At 37.2% G+C, this 25,033-nt stretch overlaps 1 long non-coding RNA gene across 1 annotated transcript in view, besides 1 other annotated feature; it reads right to left on the bottom strand.

The window, feature by feature from the left end:
• The window catches only part of LOC105374042 (uncharacterized), a 30,277-nt gene extending 5,815 nt beyond the window's left edge, over nt 1-24,462 (bottom strand). The window contains exons 1-2 of the long non-coding RNA NR_147411.1: nt 24,226-24,462; nt 290-418 (exon numbers count right to left, since the gene is read on the bottom strand). This is a non-coding gene — a long non-coding RNA (uncharacterized LOC105374042). The remainder of the gene's footprint in view (nt 1-289; nt 419-24,225) is intronic.
• Nucleotides 23,943-24,815: an enhancer, noted in NCBI's record as "H3K27ac-H3K4me1 hESC enhancer chr3:112020972-112021844 (GRCh37/hg19 assembly coordinates)". NCBI's record gives its function as "activates a minimal SCP1, AML or CMV promoter by ChIP-STARR-seq in naive H9 embryonic stem cells {active_cell/tissue: H9 hESC(naive)}" and the evidence as "EXISTENCE:reporter gene assay evidence [ECO:0000049][PMID:30033119]".

The raw sequence follows: 25,033 nt of genomic DNA, 5'->3' as shown, positions 1-25,033 counted from the left end.
CAATGAGCTTCCTCCCACCAGTTGTCTGTGGTCCATATTCTCTCGTGCAAAAACCTGTCCTCAGTAAAGACTCTTAAACTCAATTTACCATAAGTATTAATGATAACTAACAGCCTACCTTTGTAATATTCCAGAGTAAACTATCACTTTAAAAAAGATATACCCTTCACTGCGGGAATTACCAAGCATGTGGAAGAGTTTTTTCATAACAACTCTTTTCATGACGGATTTTGCCACAGCCCTTGGAATTTCTTTTTTTAATGATTGAAACTAACCCTGTTTCACTCACCCTCTTTTTCACAAACAGGTAACATCTTCTTTCTCAGAGTAATACAGAGGATAACGATGACAACACATGAAATAAATTAAAATGTTATGAGTGCACCTATAGGTAGACAAATAGAAGAACTAGATGTACCTGAAAAACACAAATCAGAAACGTTCTTTGTGACTATACTTCTTTTCTATACACTGTATTGCCCTCTTGATACCTTTAATCTGTAATGCTCTTTTGAGATGCCTTGCCTCTTTGACATTAAAATTAATACTATAATGAGATTTGCCATATTTTACTTTATTAAAAAAACTAACAAATATTCAAACTCCTACATGTTCTTCAAAGATATATAACATCTAATATAATCTTAACATTCTCAAGAATAAGAAAAAATAGGTAATCACCTAAATATTTATCACAGAAAAATGGTTAAGCAAAATATAATATAATGTAATAAATAATAAATTAATAAATAATTTTATTAAGAATTATATATAAATTTATAATTATATATATAAATAAGCTTAATAATAAAATATAATGTCACTTGCTGACTATATTACTAAAATGGAATTTCCAGAGTCTGGAATAAACTCAGAAAATAAATGTATAATAATAATAATAAATATTCAAGATGAATGTACTGAGTAATGCGATAAGCATTTTATAGGGACCATTTATTCACATTATCTGGGTAAGTGCAGTTATTAGGTACAGATGAGAAAACGCAGTCTCAGTGATGTTAAGAAAATCACTCAAAGATATACCATGATTAAGTGGAAAAAGTGAGAAACAAGTTTAATTTTCACTTGAGTGCCTACACTCAAGAAAAACAATTTTTCAGGCATCAACACTTTAAAAAATAGCTACTTTGACCAAAGTGTAACTAAATTGTGTTACTGACATGTGTTCGTTTAGCCCTCTGAATAAAATGTACATTTTTTTATCGCAATTTAAAATTAACAAAAAGCCATCACTATAATTGTCAATGATTCTTCTTAGATATGATATAAAAATGAACATATACACTTTATGTTGGCCCTTAAGTAAGTTTTTGCTAACGTTAACATGAAATATTTTGCATTTTGCATATTTAGGTCTTCTCACAGTAGGCTTTTTTTGTGTCCTCTTCCTAATTGCCAGACTGCTGTAATTTTCCTGCTTACAGTAACCTCTCACTCTTTTTAAATTTGCTGCTTTGAATTTTCATTACCATTGAAGGAAAAGAGAAATCTTTTTTAGTAGTTCTTCTCTGAAATGTTATTTAGAGAGTGCATGTGATCCGGTGTGCCATTTATTTTTGAGTGCTCAGACATCGTTTTGTCTCAGTTTCTAGATTTTACCAATAGTCTTTCTCAAGAAAATACTACATAGTCATTCTAAATAGGTGGAGGGGGATGAATGTGAAGAGTTTGGTGGTAAAATATGAACACATCCTTAAAGTCAACAACAACAATGCATAGAAAGAAAGCCTTATATAAGAATTTCAACAGAATTTGGGATTTATATTGCTAATATTTGTTACAAAACTAAGCAAGGAAGAATCATTTTCTTAGTTGATAACTTCTTTACTGACATTTGTATTTCAGTAAGAAGTAAAATTAACTGATATCTAGCTAGTAGATTGATGGAAGATACATAAGCTATTCAACTGGCATATTCCAATCTCATGAGCTGGGGAAGGCCTAGGCGAGTAGATCACCTGAGGTCAGGAGTTCAAGACCAGCCTGGCCAACATGGTGAAAATCTGTCTCTACTAAAAATACAAAAAATTAGCCAATTGTGGTGGCATGCACCTCTAATCCCAGCTACTCGGGAGGCTGAGGCAGGAGAATCACTTGAACCTGGGAGGCAGAGGTTGCACTGAGCCGAGATTGCCCCACTGTACTCCAGCCTGGGCAACAAGAGTGAAACTCCATCTCAAAAAAAAAAAAAAAAAAAAAAAAAAAAAAAAAAAAGAATATTTCTGATCATTTTCCTGTATATTCTGATTGTGAACTTCCTTACATGTCCTGCAGATAAATAAATCTTGTTTCATTTGCCCAAGTGATATACTGATATTCATCAGTCTGTTAGTCCATAGTTAATACTGAAATTTGTTACAGCTTTGTTTATGAAGCTTGGCATCTAAAGTGGGACAGACACAAAGATCCTAGACTCATCATGCCTACATTTTTCAGAGGAAATCACCAGAGTAATTAGGAAAAGGGAGAGGAGTAGGATACTGTGTAACTCATTTTGTCTTCTTACAAAATTTGTAAGAATTTGTTTTAAAAAGGATACAGCCATGGCAAAAGAGGAAACATTTCAGTGGAACAGGTGCATGTTTTCCTTAACTTACTGAAGCCTGAGATGTAGCCCATTAATTTGAAAATGCAGAAGATCATGGTATAGAACCTAAAATGTCTTGGACTATAAGGCTCAAATTAAAAGTATATGGTATGTAGAAAGAGCAGAGATGAGACTACTATTGATTTAAAGCTCTCTGACAAGCCAGAAAACCTTTTTTTTTCGTACAGGTATTTGGGATGCCTTCTTTGTGGTTCCCAGTAATTCATTAATATATTAAAGTTGTATAGTTCATGGCAAGATAGTCACCAAAACTCTAGGCTACAGGATAAAGGAATTAAGAGTATTTGCTCCAAAGCTTGTCTTAGATCTTCTGTTGAAGTAGGAAGGGGAGAATGCATTATTCTTTAACCCTAGAGAATGGTGAAAGTTGTTTGGCTTGTCAATGGATCCTTGTGATTTATGCTCATATTTATCCAAAGGAAAGGAAATCTGTATATTGAATGGATATCTTCTGCACTCTCATATTGGCTGTTTTGTTTTGTTTTGTTTTGTTTTGTTTTCAGATAGGGTCTCGCTTTGTTGTCCAGGCTGGAGTGCAGTGGCATGATCATGGCTGACTGCAGCCTCAACCTCCCAGGCTCAAACAATCCTCCCACCTCAGTTTCCTGAGTATCTGGGACTGTAGGCGCTCACCACCATGTCTGGCTAACTTTTTTATTTGTTATTGAGGCAGGGTCTTGCTCTGTTGCCCGGGCTGGTCTTGAACTCCTGGTCTCAAGCGATCAGTCCACTTCAGCCTCCCGAAGTGCTAGGATTACAGGTGTGAGACACTGTGGCTGGTGACTTTCATATTAATTGCAGCACTATTTACAATAGCCAAGATAAGGAATCAACCACAGTGTCCAACAACAGATGAATGAAGAAAATGTGGTATATATGCACAATGGAAATACTATCCAGACATAATAAAGAATGAAATCTTGTCATTTATGGCAACATGGATGAGCCTAGAGGACATTATGCTAAGGGAAATAGCCAGGAACAGAAAGTTAAATACCACATGTTCTCACTCATACGCAAAAGCTTTAAAAGTTTATCTCACAGAAGTAAAGAAAGGAGGATTCTAGAGGACAGGAAGGGTTGTAGGAAGGGAGAATAGAGAGAGATTCCTTAAAGGTTATGACATTTTAGCTAGGTAGGAGGAATAAGTTCTAGTGTTCTATAGCACTGTAAGATGACTATGTTTAACATCAATATATTACATAGTTTCAAATAGCTAAAAGAGGGGATATTGAATATTTCCATCACGAAGAAATGATAAATGTTTGAGAAGATGGATATGCTAATTATCCTGATCAGATCGCTATACCTTTTATGTATCAAAAAACTTCACTGTGTATACCCCATAAAAAGGTACAATTATATTTGTTAATTAAAATAAATAAATAAATAAATAATTTTAACAAGCATATAGCTCATAATGCCCAAGTCAACCACTAAAGGAAGAGTAAAGAAATCTTACTTAAAAATTAGTTAATAAATTAAAAAATGGGGAAATAAAATTTTTAAAAATAACTCAAAATCAAGGAAAGAGAGAAAAGAACATTAAACAGGTGAGAGATAATAGAAAATGAATAGTAACGTGGTAGATTAAAACCCCAAAATATCAGTATTTACAGTGACTATATGGAGAATAAATACTTTAATTTCAAAAGATTATTTGCTATAATATAAAAACAATTATTTAAATACTGCTTATTGGCTTCTACTGTTAGAAATATCCTGTGAGGAAATTATACCCTGTTTAACTATTGTTATAATTAAATTATTGTTACAAAACAGAAGATAAATACAGGTGACAGAGCTTGGAAGGAAGGAGAGCAAACAGGAATGGGCAGCTAAGAGAGACATTCTGAAACTGGGTCAATGGTCAATGGTCTTGTTGTTTGAGGTGTTATCCAAGCTTGTTGTCTTGCGACCAAGAGAATTAAGGAGCATGGATACACAAAGGGTGAGGTTGAAGCAAAAATTTAATAAGTGAAAGAAGAAAGCTCTCTGCAGCAGAGAGGGGAGCCCCAGTGGGGTGCTGTTTTACAGTTGAATTCAGAAGCTTTTATAAGAAACTCCTCTTAACTCTGTAGCTGCTTGAGCAAATTCTCTTATCTGTACAGCTGTCTGTGTAATTTCCCTTATCTATGCAGCTACAGATATGTCTCCAGGTAAGCTCAAAGCACAGCTTCTCTTGTTTGTGTAACTGCGGATTTGTTTTAGGTAAGTCCCCCTCCCCTCCCTGTGAAAGCGCCCGTGGAGCCCACCGTGTACATGTCTGAAAAGGGGAGGTAACTTTTTCCTGAGATCCCACCAATCACAAAAAGAACAAAAGGCTTCCATGCTGGACCTTGCCTCCTTATCTGTGCAGCTGCAGCCTGAGTTTTCCCCAGGCTGCTCTACTTGTGCCTGTAGCTGTGATTTTTCAGCTGTTTCTCCAAGGACTAGCCTTAGCCGTCTACCTAACTTTTTGCTTTCCTTCTCCCTAAATTGTATGGTGGATGAAACAAACAAACAAACAAAAAACAGATTTGGCAAGGCTGTTCAAAGTTGTAGAGGTAAGCAGGGAAAAAAAAAAAACTATATTGGGAGGAAAATGGTGGAGAAAAAGTTGAGGGAGGTGTAAAAAGAGCTCAATCTTCAGTAATTGTGGCAAAAATCCAGTGGAGACCGTAGATCAATTTAACATTTGCCATATAAGAACAGTTGCCTCAGGAAGCAGGACTAGGGTAGAGATGTCTTCATTATTTGATTCATTTAACCATGCATATATAATACATTGATTTACATTTAAAAAAATACGTGACTTATACAAACACTTCTGGTAATGGATTTTGAAGAAAAATAAATATTTTTCGTTATTGATGTATCACTTCCACTTACATTCTTGTATTACTAAAAGAGGGACAATCTTCTCATTATTCATTAGAAGATGATTCAAGTACAAAATCAGGCATTGGAGCACCAGAGACCTCACAGTCTCCATAGAGATGGTGCATATTTCAGTGACAGTTATTGTGCCATTTGGATTCTGAGCAAAATATTCCTCTGGTGAGTTAATTAATACTTGTGAGGGGAAAACAGATAGTCGAGGAGTAGGTTTTCTTATAGCTGAATAATTAAGGCTAAGAAAATCTTCAAAGTCCAGATTCAGCTAGAGTTCAGTTCTTAATTCAGATACAGCTGAGGCAAAAAAAAAAAAAAAAAAAAAAAAGGGAGAAACAAAAAGTATGTCATGCTAGATTTATATGATCCCTAAGACTGGTCTTCCCCAAATTTTTATATGGAACCAAAGTATAGGAAACATATCCCTCTCAGATATTTCTCCCCACATTTTACAAAACTTCACAGTACCATTTCCTGTACCCACTGACAGGCCCTCCAATTTGAGAAGAACAGTTGATGTCGTAACTCTCATTCAACCTTACATAAACCCCCAACACTTTAAATGTATGGCAACATAATGAGGAGACACTATGACACTATAATTATTCCTGTAACTTGGTGTTAATTTGAAGACTGGGAATCCCCTGTTCTCTTAGAGTCCTCATCCTTCTTCTTTCTTTCTTTCCTGGCTCTTTTTCTTTTTCTCTCATTTCTCAGCTCTCCAGTATGAAAGTCCTTCATGAATTTCACTCATAGTAAGAATGCTACTAACTGATCTAAACTAAGGGTGTGGTGATTGTGGGCACAATAATTTAATGATAAGAGCAAATAATTCTCCTAAGATCTTCAAAGGTATTGATTTCCTCAGTCCTCTGCTACAGTTTGTTAAGATTGGCAGAAGGCCACAATTTCTTTGCTGGTTGAGAAAAAATTACCAATAATTTTCCCTGACACCACATGGTAGCAGAAAAGGGCATCTGATTAGGTTATTCTCTAATAGGAAGTTAAAGTGAAATTTTTAATTTTCCTGCGATAAGAAAGAAGGGCTTTGGAAAATCTATTAAGTGACATGTATATATGTATGTGTATGCCTCCATGTGTGTGTTTTTGAGGTCTCAAAATATGCAAAAATAATTAAATAAAAATTAGAATTATATTTTCAAAGCTTTCTTTCTAGATAAGATGGAGTAGTTTGCAGGAGGTTAATATTTCTATTGAGAATAACTGTATAAACTGAATTAATTACACAAGAATTTACTTCAAGGCATTGGGCAACTGAAAAGCCAAGAAGAATTAGAGGGAGTAAAATACAGAGAGGAGGGAGTCTTACAGAGGTGAGCTGAGAGTCAGCGGTAACAACCTGGGGTTACTTTTGTCAGTACTCTGTGGGTTGGAAGTTGAGAATCGGGAAACAGATAAACCTTTGGAGTTTCCTGGAATTTTGCAGCCCTAGAGTGAGTGGAGTGACAAATGGAAGACTTTGTAGAGCTTCAGACACATGCCAATTTCTCCCTTAACATCTTGCTGAACTGCAAATCTGCACATGGTGGGAAGTTAAAAGGTAAATCAAAACCTCAGGAAGTCAGAGTGGAACTCTTCCAGACCTAAGATTCTTAGAAGATAAAAATCTCTAGGAAGGAGCACTAGAGATTAAAAGCTCTAAAAAATAGTGTTGAATTCATGCAGTGAAAAGCTGCCAACACCTTTTTTCTGAGGATACTTGTTGATACATGTAAGAATCCAGCTTTGACCTTAAGTAGAACTCTGCTGCTGAGCAACAAAGAAATCAAAAGAGCATTTGGTGATTTCTTGGGCTACAGTAACAAAACTGAAGACTTGAAGAAACTCACACATAGAGTCACCTTCCCCCTCAAAACATTTACCGAATTCTGATTTCGTGCAGAGAAAAAAAACCAAAGAGCTAAGTTCAATCTCTCAACAGCTCAGAAAAAATTCTCGTAGTCTGTTAGGGCTAAGGAGACAAATATGCATTAGTCTCACAATTGAAAGCTCTAGAGGTTCATGCTTTAAAAAGAGTGATAAACCAATTAGAAAATATTTTGAACAGAATTACAATGAAGATATGACATATCAAAACTTGTGATATATAGCTGAAGAAGTGAACAAAGGAAAATGTGTTGCCTTGGATCCACACATTAGAAGAAAAAGGCAGAAAATTGATGATCAGAGCTTCCATGTCAAGATACTAGTAAATCAGCAGGAAATCCAAACTACAGAAAGTAGAAGAAAGAACATAAAAAAGACAAGAGCAAAACTCAATAAAATAAAAGATAAAATAACAACATTCCAGTGGGTATTTACTAGTAAAATTTATACACCCCAGGTGAGCTTAACCAAAAGAAAAAAGAAAGAAAATACAATTTACCAATATTGTGATAAATAGGGAAACCCTACCACAAATCCTACAGACATTAAGAAAAACAATATTTTTACCAATTACATGAAAATTACTTTGAAAATTGGCATAAAATGTAACTTATCAAAATAGACAGAAGAAAAAATTAAAAAACAGAGAAGTGAGATATCTATTAATGATATTGAATCCATTATTAAAAATCATCCAGATGAAATACCAAGGCTCTTGTATCTTCACTGGTGAATACTTCCAAATACTTGAAGGGAGAAAAATTATCAATATTGTAATATTCTTCAAAGGGGGAAAAACACATACCAGCAATTTTTATTTTTATTTTTCTTTCACAGCTGGCTATGTGATTCAAATAGTCAACTTTTTAAAATCTGTGTATCTGTATGTCTGTGTATTTATGCTATATGTACATGATGTTTCACTACCAAAATAGATAAAAGAGTTCTATAACTGGCTTAGAGAAAGTAAGTGCTTAAATCAAATATTTTATCAGGAAAATAAAAACTTTAACTCATATGCATTTTGGTTTACGTGACTTTAATAATCTTTAGTAAATAAAGACAGTTTTTAAATTATTGGTATAATAAAACATGTGTCTTCAAAATTTAATTTAGACATTTGGTCTGAATAAGGAAGGTCAGATACTGTCTCTGCTAGATATAAAACTTTGCTTGTCTAATACTTTTGATACTTGCTTAACTTGCCTATGAACGTGTCTTTAGATTTAAGCCTGTAGGGTCATTTCAAGGCCCAGCCTCAGACATTGTTCATTGTCTTGGACTCTGCATCTAGTACATAACTAAAATTGGTTACTTACTAGGTTTTTCATCAAAAATAAAAATAAGTGTTACTAAGAGTTAACATTGTAATTAATGGCTGTAATTAAAACTATTAGATATAAGAGAAACAATTCTATACACAAAGTATATAAGAAAAAGAGAACGTGTTTTTATTAAAAGAGTTATAAAAAGACATGGAAATGTACTTTTTTAAAAAAGAAAAAAGTAATTTTGTCTATTTTAGAGGTTTGTAAAAACTATATTAAATGGAGTGTTTAAAAATAATAGATAAGGCCTGGCGCGGTGGCTCACGCCTATAATCCCAGCACTTTGGGAGGCCGAGGCAGGCGGATCATGAGGTCGGGAGATCGAGACCATCCTGGCTAACACAGTGAAACCCCGTCTCTACTAAAAATACAAAAAATTAGCTGGGTGCAGTGGCGGGCGCCTGTAGTCCCCGCTACTCGGGAGGCTGAGGCAGGATAATGACTTGAACCCGGGAGGCGGAGCTTGCCGTGAGCTGAGATCACACCACTGCACTCCGGCCTGGGTGAAAGAGTGAGACCCAGTCTCGAAAAAAAAAAAAAAAAAGATAAAACAATGGATAAAGAAAGTTGAAAAAAAGAAAATACAAAAGAATTATAAAAGGCTTATAAAAATATTACCTCATGAGGTAAGTTTGGATGGATTTGTTTATAAGATTTTATTTAAAATTATCTTTTGCAATAATAACATTTACACTTTGCAAAGGTAAAATATGGCTTTCTCCTTTGAACAAGATTTTCATTTAATAGTAAGAGATAGCAAAAGTTCTTTTTTTTTTACCTTTTGAGTAAACTGCAAAAAGAGAGAAGAAAGAGGAGAGACAGATTCGATTGAGCTCATGCTGTCTTGTTGTTTGCGAAACTGAGTCTCTATCAAAGAGTAAAGGTTTTTGTGCTTTGTGCTTTCAAAATCTTTAAATTCTCATTTTATCTAAGTTAACAAGTTATTTGGGATTAACTGGGATAGTATTTTGTGATATCAAGTGTTTTAAACCTTTAATACTCGAAAAATTTTTCAAAATCAAAATTTCAAGTCCCAAACTCAGTTTTTTTAATCTCATTAACTTTTTTTGGTGCTAGGTCCTCTGAAGTCCAAAAGAGACATATTCAGTTAATTCAAGATGTTAAAATCATACAGGAAGCATTATCAAATATGTAATGGTGCTTAACTTTCTTTGAGTCTTATTTATATAAATGTGTTAGTAATATGTATTTCAAAATTATATGAGGTTTCTAGAATTTTTATATGTCTTTGTATATGTTATCTACAATACATATGGTTATTACATTAAATTGCTGCATGTTACGGAAATAACCAAATTTTCTTGTCATTTGTATCTTTGACCATGGCTGTTTGGGCTTTTGTCATCCACAGACAATTAACATTTTACTTTGATTCCTCTCAAAAAGTGGTTTATAACCAGCAATAGCCCAAAACTTCCTTCTTTAAGGAGTTCACAGGAAGAACTCTGACAAGCTCTTAAATGCAGGTTTCTGATAATCCTTCTGATTGTGACATGAAACTAGAGAAAAAATAATTTCAGGACTTTCATTGAAGAACTAATGTGTTCAGGAGGATTACTAACCCCAGTATCAAACAGAATGAGTAATTGCATTGGACTGAATGAATAGGGGACTAAAATGATTTTTATGACTTTTTGTGTTTGACACATTGGAGATTCTGAGTTTTTTGGTCAGAATCAAGATTTTTTTATTTTGAGCTATTTATAGCTTTTATTTTATTTTATTTTTTATTTTTTTGAGATGGAGTTTTGCTCTTGTTGCCCAGGATAGAGTGCAATGGTGTGATCTCAGTTCACTGCAACCTCCACCTCCCAGGTTCAAGCAATTCTCCGGCCTCAGCCTCCTGAGTAGCTGAGCTATTTATAGCTTTTTAACAACTGAGTAAATTATACTCTTGTGATCAAAATTTGAATCATATTTCTTTCACTCTACCTGATTTCTCCAGAATGTGGAAACCATTTGAGAGTATTCTTAATTTATGGCAATATAGTTATTTGCATGATTTCAATAAAAACATGTTTTCTTTTGTAACAGGACACAATTGGAGACATTGGTTATGTTTCCAAGGCTTTGACTGAACTGGCATATTTTCAGATATAAACAGATGACTTCGAGGAATTCAAATTGACTTTATAAGGTGATAAAAGACTCTTGGAAGGACTAGTCTCATACCTTGTCTATGCAATTTTTTTTACATCTCTTGACTTGTGGTAAGAAAAGAATGTCATGTTCTGACAGGCCCAGGAACCTCAAGTTATTTTGGGACTTTGAGAAGAATAGACTTCACCCAATTCATGGAGGTATATGCAGGCACAGATAAATCCTCTTCTAGGCTCTAGAGGCCTCTTAAAAGTAAAATCTGTCATTCTTTATAAGAAAGCTCCAGTAAAGCCAATTCAAAATGAGCCTATCAACCAATAATTATTCTTGCTGTACTTTATGCAAATAATCAGGCCATACAACCACTATAATAACAGTCTTATATTACAACTTATTTTGCAAATAAATGTTTTGACTATGATTTATCTTCGGTAAAAATAGGAAAATATAAAAAATTACATTTCAAAATAAACTGTAGTACAACTGTTGTTAGATTCTAGCCTTGTCTATTGTTTTTCAGTTTTTATTATTTATCTATAATTTATCTGGACTACATCTTGAATTCTGTCCTGACTACAAGTCTCCAAACTAATGTTTTAAAATTATTTTTCTCCCATTTTTCTAACTTGGAATCACTAGAAATTAAAACCATGCTTTTCTTAAAACCCTGCAAACTGAAGCTAGACAACTTGAACTTTGGAAGAAATAACAGCAATTTCATGCCTGACTACTGATGTACAGACTTCTTGTAATATAGCCTGAATCTGTTTTCCAAGATTGCTTTCCCTTTGTTTCTGTAATCTGGTCTTGGTAGCCCCCTTTTTCTCTTTTTTCCCTTTCATTCTTTCTTCCTTCCCCTTTTTCGCTCCTTGGGACAGAAAACTTGACAACCTCCTAGAAATGAGCCTTCCTAGTAACGTGGAACCTAACCTCATAGGAATAAGCTATCTAGCAACAAGGGATCACAAAAAACCCATAACCAGAGACTAATATTCTTCTACAATGCTTTCTCCAAAAGATTTTGAACAATTGGGGAAAATGTGGAAGAAAATAAAATCTCAGGATCCTGAACTCACTATGCTAAAGGGAAAGTTGAGTTTGGGAACTAAGTGAAACAAGAGACTACCTTCCTTTTTTTTCCCAAATAGATTACTGTAATTTCACATGCTTATGTTATGTAGAATGTAGATTTACTGAGCATGAAATGAATGCATAATTGACTTTGTCCCACTCCCTCCTCTTCACATGTAAAACAGACTCACTGAGTGCTAATTACTACCCTCCTTCCTGTTTTTTTCTTCCCCTTCTGCTTCCTCTTTCCTCTTTAAACATTGACATTCCCAAAATCCTCTCTGAAAAAAAGCACAGGGCACAGATCCTACTGTGACTTGTGTTTGTTTTTCCCGGGCACATCCTCAACCGTGGCAAAATGAATCTCAAAATCAATCAAGATCTGCCTTAATTACTTTTTTTACTTACACAGTATAAGCTTAATAATAAAGCTTAATAAAAATATTTCAAGAAAAAAGAATTGCAGACCAGTATCTTTCCTGGGCTTTGATCCTAAAATAAATATTGGATAATCAAATTAACCAATACGTTATAAAAGGATACACAGTAATTATCACTAAGGTTTCCTTCTCTCCAGTAATGCAAGGATGATTTAATATTCACAAATCAATCAATTTAAATCACCATTGACATGGTTAGGCTTTGTGTCCCCACCCAAATCTCATCTTGAATTGTAATCCCCAGGTGCTGAGGGAGAGAACTGGTGGGAAGTGATTGGATCATTAGGGCAGTTCCTCCCATGCTGTTCTCATGATAGTGAGCGAGTTCTCACAAGATCTGATGGTTGTATAAGTGTTTGATAGCTTCTCTCTTGCTCAGTCACTTCTCTCTCCTGCCACCATCTGAAGAAGGTCCTCCTTTCCTCTTTGCCTCTCACCATGATCATAAGTTTCCTGAAGCCTCCCCAGCCATGTGGAACCGTGAGTCAATTAAACCTCTTTCCTTTATAAATTACCTAGGCTCTGGTATTTCTTTATAGCAGTGTGAGAATGGACTAACACAGCCATATTAACAGAAAAAGTGAGAAAAATAATGTGATTAATAGATTCAGAAAAAAGCATTTAATATGTTTCTATACCTATTTATGAATGAATAATAGCTAGCTAGGAATATAAGAGAATTTCCTTTATATAATGAAAGATAACTACAACAAACCTTCAGCTAACATTACACTTAATGGTGAAACTGTTAATGCTTTTCCTTTGAGCTCAGTAACAAGACAAAAATTCCCACCACTCTCAGTCCTTCTCTCCAATGGTTGACTGGAGATCCTAGCTTGGACAATAAGCCATGAGAAAGAAATAAAATGAATAAAGATGGGAATGCATTAAATCAGTCTTTATTTCCAGGTGACATGATTTTGTACTTAAAGAATTAGAAAAATTTACAGAGAAATTATTACAATTAACAAGTCAATTCAGCAAGAACCTGGATTCAAGGTCAATATTCCAAAATAGATAAGATGTCCAGTTTCAGTTTTAACATACAAAGAGCTTGGAATTCATCATCTCATCCTAACACAAGAAAAAAGCTGAACAAACTGAAAATCAATGGTCTTTATTAGACTCTTCAGAGAATTAAAGGCACAGGGAAAACTACAACCCTGAAATCAGCAGAGACGTGAATAGAAAGGCACTGAGATCAGCTTACTCGGAATGAAAGTCACTGGTGTTATAAAATGGTAGGGACATATCAATGATAATTTTGATGGACTGCCAGAGGCTTCATGTGAATCAGCTTGAGAGTGATAAACTCTTCAGAGCTGCAGTCTTAGAGAGACCCCACAATTCCATAGGTTTCACCTCCAGGAACCTTATCAGCTTTTCATAGTAAAGAGCCAAGAAAAATCACTTCATATGTTTAAAAACAGAAGAGGAAATGTAACCATTTTTAAATAAGCCCAGTGCATTTTTCATTAAAAAAAAAAAAACCTACTTTCTAGGAAAAAAAGAAAAAAAAAGATATATATAACCAGAACCTTATCTTATGTAGATGGAAGGAAAATGACCTAACTCCAGTCATTTCTTGCTTTCCTGTCTCATCTAAAGTGGTAAGCGAGAGAAAAATAAGTAAGAAAATGTATGAAGGTCATAAGTGTTGTGGGATTCAGGAGAATGAGAGAGAGACCTAGAGTTGAAACAGGAGAATCTTTTATTGAGTGCACTCAGGCCCAGCTGACTCAACGTCCAAAAGACTGGGCCCAGAACGAAGACAGCACTTGACTTTTATACACACTTCACAAAAGAAGGTGGGCTAGCTTGAAGTAAGCTTACAGTGGCATGAAAGCAGGGATACAGAGGCAGGACAAAGATGGTTAATCAAATTGTAACAGGTTCATAACTCAGGATTACACATAACCATTGCTATGCAACCCAGATGTCCATTATCTGGGTTTGCCTAGGCACAGGCGTATCCTATAACCTTCACTATGGCGCCCAGGTGACTGTAACTGAGATCTGCTCAGACGCTCATGACCTTCACTCTACTGCTTAGATAAAACAGATTACTTGAAGTCACTAGTTACAGAGAACAGGAATCTGTGAACTCATTCCATAAAACAAAGGAAAATTTGTTTTTCTTCTCCTTATGTTGAGAGAGTGCTGGGAGAGTCTCCAGAGCACATTAGATAATATTATCAAGACTCTTCCTGGGTCTGGGCTGTGCCTGTTGCTGCCCCTGGGACAAATCAGCCTAATACAGAAAAACTTTTTTCTCTTTCTTTTTAATTTTATTTTTCTTTAATTTCCCACCTCAATAGCCTATAGCCAAGGTACACAGGCCCACTAAAAGAGTGAGAATTAATCATAAGATTTTAGAATGCTTTCTCTCCACAATTCCTTACCACCATCAATAGAGCTCTAGTATAATAGCATTGGATTATAGCTGAAATACTTGCAAGTCTCAGACTCTAATTAATAAGCAGTTCTTAGAGATATTCAAAGAAAATGGGGAAGAAAAAAACAAGGAAACTATAGATATGTGAAGCCCTTGACACCTGCTGCTATAGTAAACAATAATGCAACCCAACTTTTAGCCACATTTGCATAAAACCCACACTAAAAGCCTATTTACCTCAATTTCTATTACCTCATGTATCATGTCTGGCCTTTGACAAAAAATTGCAAGGCATGTTAAAAGACAAGAATGGTTCAGGAGCAGTGATTCACATCTGTAATCCCAGCACTTTGGGAGGCCGAGGCAGGCAGATCACGAGGTCAGGAGTTCAGGACCAGTCTGTCTAACATGGTGAAACTCCATCTCTACTAAAAATACAAAAAAAATTAGCCAGGTGTGGTGGTGCACACCTGTAATCCCAGCTACTCAGGAGGCTGCGGCAAGAGAATTACTTGAACCTGGGAGGCAGAGGTTGCAGAGAGCCAAGATTGCACCATTGCACTCCAGCCTGGGCAACAGAGTGAGACTCCGTCTCAAAAAAAAAAAAAAAAAAAAAAAAAAAGACAAGAACAAAGGCAGTCTGAAGAGACAAAGCAAACATTAAACTATATTCAGATAAAACACAAACTTTAGAATTATCCAGCAGGAAATTTAAAATAACTATGATTAATATATTAAGGACTTGGGTAGAAAAAATAGACAATGGACAAGGATAATATAAGCAGAGAGATGGAAACTTTAAGAAGCAATAAAAAGAAAATGCAAGAGATAGTAATAATGATAATCACAACAGAGTAACAAATTGAAGAAAGTCTTTGATGGGCTCATCAATAAATTGCACATGGCCAAGGGAAGAATTAGTGGCTTCTAGATATTTCTAGATATCTTCTAGATATTTCAATAGAAATTTCCCGAAGTAAAATATAAAGGGGGAAAAATAAAATATCCAAAAATGGTGAGAAAATTATTTTCAAATAATTTTTATGCACGATTGGAATACCAGAAGGAGGAGAGAGAATTAAGGAGAAGAAATATTTGAATAATGGCTGAGAACTTTCCAAAATTAATGGCAAACATGAAATCACAGACTCTGAAATCTGAGATAACATCAAGCAGAATAAACACCAAAAAAAAAAATCTACATTATGTTCAAACTTCAGAAAAACAGACAGAGAAAATCTTGAAATAAGAGAGAGGAAATAAATCTTACCTATAGAGGAAAAAAGAATAAGAGTTGCAATGAATTTCTCATCAAACCAATTCAAGCATGGGGAGAGTGGGGTAAAATATTTAAAGTGTTTAAAGAAAAAAAAATCCACCAACCTAAAATTCTCATTTAAAAGTGAAGGATAAAGACTTTCTCAGACAAATAATTCATTGACAGCAGACCTACAGACTTGCTGTGCCAAAATGTGTGTGTGTGTGTATAAAAGAAGCTGTTTTGATAGAGCAAAAATAATATAGATAGAAAACTTCAATCTACATAAAAAAGTAAAAGCATCAGAAAAGAATAAATAAAGGTAAAACAAGATATTTTATTTTTTACATACTTGATCTAATTGTTCAAAGTAATAACAGTGACAAAACACTGTGTAATTATAGCATATGGATAAATAAAATAAATGGCAAAAATATTATAAAAGATAGGAGGGAGAAACTGGGAATACTCTGTTATAAAGTACCCACAATGCTCATGAAATTGTATAGTGTTATTTTAAAGTAGATTACAATTAGTTGTAAATGTATCTTGCAAGCTCTAGGAAAGCCACTAAAATGTTTTTAAAAAGAAGTCTAATGGGTGTGCAAAGAGAGGAGAGAAAATTGAATCATATAAAATACTTAATTAAAACTAGAGAAGCTAGGGAAAGTATGAAAAAGAAGCAAATTGCAAGGGTAAACAACAAAACAGTTATAAACATAGCAGATATTAATCCAACTATATCAATGATCACCTTCTAATGAATGGTCTAAGTATACCAATTAAAAGTAATTGCCAGACTACATTCTTTATTTATTTTCTTTCTGTTTTTTTTTGTTTTTTTTTTTGAGACACAGTCTCACTCTGTCGCCCAGGCTGGAGTGCAGTGGCGCAATCTCAGCTCCCTGCAACCTCCAACTCCTGGATTCAAGCGATTCTCCTGCCTCAGCCTCCTGAGTAGCTGGGACTACAGGCACGTGCCACCACACCCAGCTAATTTTTGTATTTTTAGTAGAGACGGGGTTTGACCATGTTGGCCAGGCTGGTCTTGAACTCCTGACCTCAGGTGACCTGCCCATCTTGGCTTCTCAAAGTGCTAGGATTATAGGCGTGAGCCACCACACCCAGCCCAGACTACATTTTTTCAAAAAAATCTTATGCTGTCTACAAGACATTCACTACATGCAGTCAGCCCTCCATATCCATGAGTTCTACATCTCTGGATTCAACTAGCAGTAGATAAAAAATATTTGGGAACAAAATGGTTAGTTGTGTCTGTACTGAACAGGCACAGACTTTTTTTTCTTGTCATTATTCCCTAACAATACAGTATCACAACATTACATAGCATTTACATTGTATTAGGTATTATAAGTAATCTAGAAATGATTTACAGATTCTCTCAGAACCATCCATGGAAAATTATGGCAAAGCCACTGAAGTCACAGATGAATCAATGGAACAAGACTGACTATTTAGAAACATTGTGATGCAGTATTTTAAATACAGCTCTGGTTTTAACACTGTATACAACTTTTATATAATTAAATGGACCTTTAGTTTTACAGGAGAAGCAGGTTGTAAAATAAAGTATTTTATAGATGATTTCTAAAAAGTCGTACATGTAAGAACTGTGAGTATCAGCTCCTCTGGGTTCTGGTTACTGCTGACTTTTTGTTGGTCTGAGCAAATCAGTAATTTGTGTATAGATTTTCTAAAATTTAGAACTAGTTTTTATATTGGAAGGTAATAATTATAATTTTGAAAGATTTTTGAGATTATCACTTTTAGTTTATACACATACAATAAAACTTTTTGTCTTGTCTCTTTCTGATAGCTCTAGGAGTTTCATATTTTGGTCATAGTTTCAACATTTTAACATGTGAATTATAGGGTTTCATGCTGGCTTCCAGATTTTATTATTTGACCACAAACAATGAAGTTTGAGCTATGTATAATATATATAATATATTATATTATTATAATTATATAGAAATATGTAATTAATATATTATTATATTAAATTATATATATAATATTATATAACATATATATATAATTTGAAGGAGGGAAATGTTATCCTTCTCTGTTTCTATAAGAGATAAATACGGTGGATATTTTTCTATTCGTAATGATTGAGTTCACCTCTTTCAGAAGACATTTTCTTTCTCTTCTGAGTAATTCAAAAAAAATCTGGCCCTTGTGAAACCCTGGAAATCTTAAGTCTGTTGAAATACAAGGTTAAACACATTCCAAGAGATCTGTTCAAACTAAAATTATTTTTTATACCTTGAGGTGCTTGATAAAAAGACTACATTATTTATGAGAAAATGTGGTTTATCTTGGAAATTGTGTTCAAACATTAGCTTACTATTTTGTAAAATAAATACTTATGAAGCTAACACTGTTGCAGGATTCAGGAGGATGAGAAAGACCTGGGGTTGAAACAGGAGAATCTTTATTGAGTGCACTCAGGCCCAGCTGACTCATGTCCAAAAGACTGGGCCCGGAACAAAGACAGCACCTGACTTTATACAAACTTCACAAAACGGGGTGGACTAGCTTGAAGCAAGCTTACAGTGGCATGAAAGCAGGGATCCAGAGGCAGGACAAGGACAGGATTGCATACGACCGTTGCCAAGCAACCCAGATGTTCTTTATCTAGGTTTGCCTGTGCACGGGCTTATGCTATAACCTTCACTGTGGTGCCCAGGCACCTCTAGTTCAGGCCTACTCAGGTTTTTCATGACCTTTGTTGTACTTCTTAAATAAAACAGAATACTTGAAGTCACTAGTTAAGAGAACAAGAATCTATATACTCATTCAATAAAACAAAGGAAAATTTGTTTTTCTTCTCCCTGTGTTGAGGGAGTGCTGGGAGAGTCTCCAGAGCACATTAGATAATATTATCAAGACTTTTCCTGAGTCTGGGCTGTGCCTGTTGCTGCATCTGGGACAAGTTAGCCTAAAACAGGAAAACTTATTTCTCTTTCTTTTAATTTTATTATTTTTTTTAATTTCCCGCTTCATTCCCCGCTTTGAGGCCTTTTATAAAAGAGTTTACTAGAAGGCCTCAATATTACTTAATTTTCCATGAAGAGACAAGTTTTCTTCTTTGAGCAAAGGTTGATATTTACACAAAGCCATTAGCTGAGTGGTAGTTTGTCTAGCTATGTTTTTAGCCAACTGTGCAAACAGATACTATAGTACTCTGTGGAACTGTGGATTATGGGAAAGAGTGAGCCTAAGGATGTTATCCGGCAAACATTAAAATATAAAGATCTGACTTCTTCGTGGGAGAGACACTTTGGTCTGGTTTAAGAGACTTCCTTTCCTTGACCCAGTTCAAATCTTAAACCAGGTCCTAGATAAAAGCTTAGGGTTCTAGCATACATAAGACTGGCTATTCCTCGGGTCACAGAATGAATAGGTGGTTTGGTTGTACATACAAGTCTCCAGAGGGGTTTCTGTGTATTCATAGTATGTATGGTACAATAAAGTCTTAACTACTGTGTTTCTTATTTATGTAGTGTGCACGCACTGATGGCAACTATCTATGTGCTTTTCTTTTTGTATAGACTTAGGTGCAAATGAAGCCAAGGCAAAAAGTAATATTCTTATACTAAACATGGACAGAAAGAGTTCTCCCTTGGACAGACAGATTGGCAATAATGATAGCATAGTAATAAAACAACTAGTAATACTAAGATAGTAATTAAACGTAAAATTTGTATTCACATCTACTCATTTGATGATGACTCCTCAAGCTTTGGCCATGCGTAGACTAGTCAGTTTCCAGTTGTGTGACTAGAGCAGGGCTTACAGTTTTCCTCAAGCTTCTGCCGTGCATAGACTGGCCAGCCTCCGGAGTGGCCACAGCAGGGCTGCTGTTATTTCTACTAGTTACGTGGTCTTGTCGCAGGATTGGCCGGGTTGGACGGTCTGGGTCTTATTGACTGATCCACTGATCCTGGGCTGCTGGTTTTAGCCGACTGTGGTGAATCCAAGGCATGATTCCTGAAACTTTAACATAAGTGGGAGTAGACAAGATTATAGAATGGGGCCTATCCTATATGAGTCCTAGAGTGGTTGGATTTTATTTTTTAACTTAACTAAGGTTCCTAGTTTTAAAAGGGTGTATTGGGGGTCTGTCAGACTTATAGGCATTTTTTCTATACCTAGCCATGAACTTTTTGCATGGTCATACCTAAAGACTGCATTTGCCTTTTTAAAGTTAGTTTTCCTAGTTTACAGAAATCACTTTTAATCTGACTTATGATGGGGGGTGGCTGGGTGAACAAAATCTCACAGGGCAAATACCTAGTTTGTTTGGTAGGGGTGCACCTTACTCGGAGGAGGACCATGGGCAAGACCTGATCTTAACTTAGATGAGTTTCTTGGCAAAATTTCTTCAGCAGCTGTTTGAGTATCCAGTTCATGCACTCCACTTTACCTGAGCTCTGCAGCCTATAGGCTGTATATAATTTCCACTTTGTTTTTAATAATCGAGTTAAGTTCTGAACTATTTCAGCCACAAATGTTGGTCCATTGTCTGATTCTAGAGTTAGAGGCAGTCTAAATCTGGGAATAATGTTTCTTAACAACATGTTGGTCACCTCTAGTGCCTTCTCTGTCTGGGTGGGGAAGGTCTTGACCTATCCTGAAAAGGTGCAAATGAACAGCAACATGTACTGATAGCCCCCCTCTCAGGGCAATTCGGTGAAGTCCATGAGCAGTTTTTCACAGGGTATGGCTCCTGTTTTCTGAACTCCCAGGGGCTGCGTAGGCCCTTGTCGTGGATTGTTCTGAACACAAGTTAAACACTGTTTGTTTATAAATGACTTGAGTAATAGCAATGAGCCATGGCACACAGAAAATGATGCCCTAATAATGTCTTCAGTGCTGGTTTTTTTTTTTTTTTTTTTTTTTTTTTCCAATGTGAGTTCCTTGGTGGAACTGTTTTACAAATCTAGGGGCCACCATTTCAGGTATGGCTAGCCTCACATTGGAGATTTTTTACCATTCTCCTTCAATGTAGTTTCTATTTTCCTGGGCAAACCAAGCCCTTTCATTTGGAGTGTAGCTTGGGATCTCTGGGAAGGGAATCTCCAGGAGGAAAGGTATAGCTAAGGCTTCTTTACAAGGTGGAGTTGTCACTGCAGCCTGCTTTGCCTCTTTGTCTGCCTTTCTGTTTTCTTTAGCCTTCAGTGTTCTTGCTTTTTGGTGCCCTTTGCAATGCATTACTGCTACCTTTTTGGGGGCCTATACAGCATTTAAGAGCTGTAGAATTTCTTCCTTGTACTTTATTTCTTTACTTCCAGCAGCTAAAAGTCTTCTTTTTTCTTTGTAAATAGACTCATGAACATGCAAAGTGGCAGAAGCATATTTGGAATCTGCGTAAATATTTGCCTTCTGGTCTTTTGCTAGCCAGAGAGCTATTAGCTTTGCTTTCTAAGCAGAAGTTCTTGTAGGCAAAGACTGCACCTCTACTACTGAGTTCAAAGTTACCACTGCATATCTAGCTTGGCAGACTCCCTTTAGTATGAAACTGCTTCCATTAGTAAAATATTCAATGTCCGGGTCCCTGAGGGGCTGATCTGTCAAATCTCTCCGGCTTGAGAACACTTCATCTACCACGTCCATACAGCAATGAAGGGGGCCTCCTGGCACTGACTTGATGAGGAAGGAGCAAGGTAGCTCCTTGCTCCTTTAGGAGCTCCTTTAGGGTATTCACAGTCTCTAAAGTCAGTTTATTAGCTTCCTGCGCCAGTAGGGCAGTGGCAGCTAGTGCTTTAAAACAAAGAGGTCATCAAAGTGCCACAGAATCTAATTGCTGGATAAGTATGTCACCGGGTGATGCCATGACCTTATGGCTTGAGTTAGAACCTTTATGGCGTCCCTTTCACTTGTGGGCATACAAGAAGAAAAGCTTAGTTAGTTAGATCTGGTAACCCTAAAGCTGGGGCCTGAGTCAAGGCTTTTTTTTTTATTTCCTTAAAAGCCTTTTCCTGGTTGGCCTTCCAGAGAAGGGGCTCCTTCTTTCCTCCCCTTTGTGGCTTCGTATAATGGCTTATCCATGAGCAAGAAATTTGGGATCTAAATGCGGCAGAACCTTGCTGCCCCTAGGAACTTTTTTATCTGATGCCTGGTGGTTGGAGTAGGAAGTGCATAAACAGCCTGCTTTTGTTCACTACTAAGCCATCTTTTCTCTTGGCTTATGTAAAAGCTTAAATACTGGACACTTTTAGAGCAGATTTGAGTCTTTTTTCCTGACACTTTATATCCTGCCTTTTACAGCAGGTGCAGAAGGTCTTGGGTTCCTCCTGGGTGCAGTAGCCCTTGGCTGGTGATTTTCTTATACCATCGCCCTAACCATTTTCCTTATTCTTTTGACATTCATCTTTTCAGTGTCCTTTCCTTTTGCACCGTGCACATTAATCTCTCTTTAGCCTCGGCAGGCCTTCAAATTCTTGTCCAGAATAGCCTCTTCCACGACTACGTTCATGCCCGCGTCCAAGCCTCCTTGCAAAGTCAGCTTCTCTTCCTCTAAGGGCTGCTGCTAGCAAATTAGCCTTTCTTAATGATCAGCCTCCTTTTTTGCCTCCTGATCTCGGTTAATGTACACCTTGGTAGCCACTTTAATAAGCTGAGTGGCATTGACGCCTGCGGAGCTTCTAACTTCCGCAATTTTTGCCTGATATCTCCCTGGGCTTGCCTTACAAACGCCATATTCACCATGCGCTGATTTTCAGCAGCCTCGGGGTTAAATGGAGTGTACAACCAAAATGCGTCACAAAGTCTTTTATAAAACTGGCTGGTGCTTTTATCTGTACCCTGGAGCACCTCTGAGATTTTTTCTATATTGATTGCCTTTCTCTTCTACCATCTTTTAGCCTTTGCAGAAGTGCTTCTCTGCATCTTTGCAGGCACAGAAGCTGGACTGCATCATCTGGGTCCTAGTGGGGGTCCACTTGTCCTCTTAAGAGGTATAAGCATAACTTGGGCACGGACAGACCTGAGATAGCCTGCCTGACTTTTCAAATCTTTCACTTTAACTTCCTGGAGCTCTGATTTCTCCTTCTCGGGTGAGACTGGGAACATGTATTGGTTTGAACTTAACTTCTTAGGGGCAGTTAGGCTTGGTAAAGGGGGGGTAGATTGTCCCGTTATTCTTGCAAAACCAATTTTTTTGCCTTTCCTGAGACTTTTCTTTTGTCTCTATAGCTGCCAGGGCAGCTGATTTTTACCTTCACTTTTGGCTCGGCTGTGCTACAAGCCCCTGTGACTTTCCTTTTAACTCTGTAGCTGCCAGCGCAGCTGATTTCTCTTGGCTTGAGCTGCGAGCATTCTGCAATAAACTGCTAGGCAGGGCTGCATCTATTTAGCCATGAGTAAATATAAAGTCTTTGTCTGAATGTCCTGGCTGTCCTCCCACCCTAGTCACCACCTTAAAACACATGGCCAATTTCTTTATCTATAGTGCCTTGGGCCAGGCAGCCACACTAAAAGAGGGCTATTCTAATTCACAGAGAGTTTTCAGCATCTGAGGGGTTAACTTGACTCCTTAATCTCCCGCAACGCCTTTTTTAAAGTTCTTTAGCATGCATTCCAAGGGGGTGGGTTTTGAGGATTTTCCTCCCATTTCCTCCCAGTAACAATGCATCACATTCAGTCTTCCCTTTCTCCCTTCAAGGCTCAGCACACTCCCTTTTCCTTTCCTTTTAGGCTGATCAGACCCAGTTGGTCCTATATGTTGCTCGGAGCATACAGCCTCTACTAAGAGACCTGCAGCCCCCTGCATGTCACTCCTCACATTGGTTTCTCCCGGAACCGTCTCTTTCACACACTTTCACAAACCTCCCCTGCCCCGGGACTCCTCATCAGATGAAACAAGTGTCTCTCGTGTCCCGGGTGGGTTCACATGCACCCACACACTCCCAGTTGGGGTGGCAAGCCACTCTTGCCACCCTGCCAGCAATCTCTACCTTGCTGCACTTGCCGCTCTATTGGCCCATTTCCTCCCCTTTTCCAGTTCCTGTCTCCAGATCCAGTGAACCACTTTCACTTTGTTAGTGGGGACAAGAGGTTCATCCAAATGGGCAAGACTCTCCTGCCGCCCCCAACCGCTCTGGGTTGGATTAGTGGTCATTCCCTGGGAAGTGATCAAGCTCCCCTTTGTCCTTAGGGGACGGGCTTCCCTGCCTTGGGCCCCAAAACCTTACCACGGTTCAGATGTCTGCCTGCTGCTCTTGAGATTGTCCTGCAACCCTCCAGGTTCTGATGCACCATCTGGGGAGGGGCGCTGGGGAGTGGAAGAGCCGTTTCCTTCTCTGGGCTTAAGTTCTTCCAGTGGTGCCTGAAGTTACAGGTCTCCCACTGCTGGGGCCCCAGACCACCTACAGGCAAAGGAGACAGCCAACCTGTCCTCTCCACGGCCTCCTGGCTGACTCACCAGAAATGTTGCGGGATTCAGGAGGACGAGAGAGACCTTGGGTTGAAACAGGAGAATCTTTATTGAGTGCACTCAGGCCCAGCTGACTCATGTCCAAAAGGCTGGGCCCAGAACAAAGACAGCACCTGACTTTCATACACACTTCACAAAACGGGGTGGGCTAGCTTGAAGCAAGCTTACAGTGGCATGAAAGGAGGGATCCAGAGGCAGGACAAAGACAGGATTGCATATGACCGTTGCCAAGCAACCCAGATGTTCCTTATCTAGGTTTGCCTGTGCAGGGGCTTATCCTATAACCTTCACTGTGGGGCCCAGGCAGCTGTAGTTCAGGCCTACTCAGGCTTCTCATGACTTTTTTTGTACTTCTTAGATAAAACAGAATACTTAAAATCACTAGTTACAGACAACAAGAATCTATAAACTCATTCCATAAAGCAAAGGAAAATTTGTTTTTCTTCTCCCTGTGTTGAGGGGGTGCTGGGAGAGTCTCCAGAGCACATTAGATAATATTATCAAGACTTTTCCTAGGTCTGGGCTGTGCCTGTTGCTGCCTCTTGGACAAGTTAGCCTAAAACAGG

The sequence above is a fragment of the Homo sapiens genome, chromosome 3, assembly GCF_000001405.40.
Source record: "Homo sapiens chromosome 3, GRCh38.p14 Primary Assembly".
In the NCBI taxonomy this organism is placed as follows: Eukaryota; Metazoa; Chordata; class Mammalia; order Primates; family Hominidae; genus Homo; species Homo sapiens.
The sequence above is the reverse complement of the archived record's forward strand: the minus strand, read 5'-3'. Positions and strand labels throughout refer to the sequence as shown.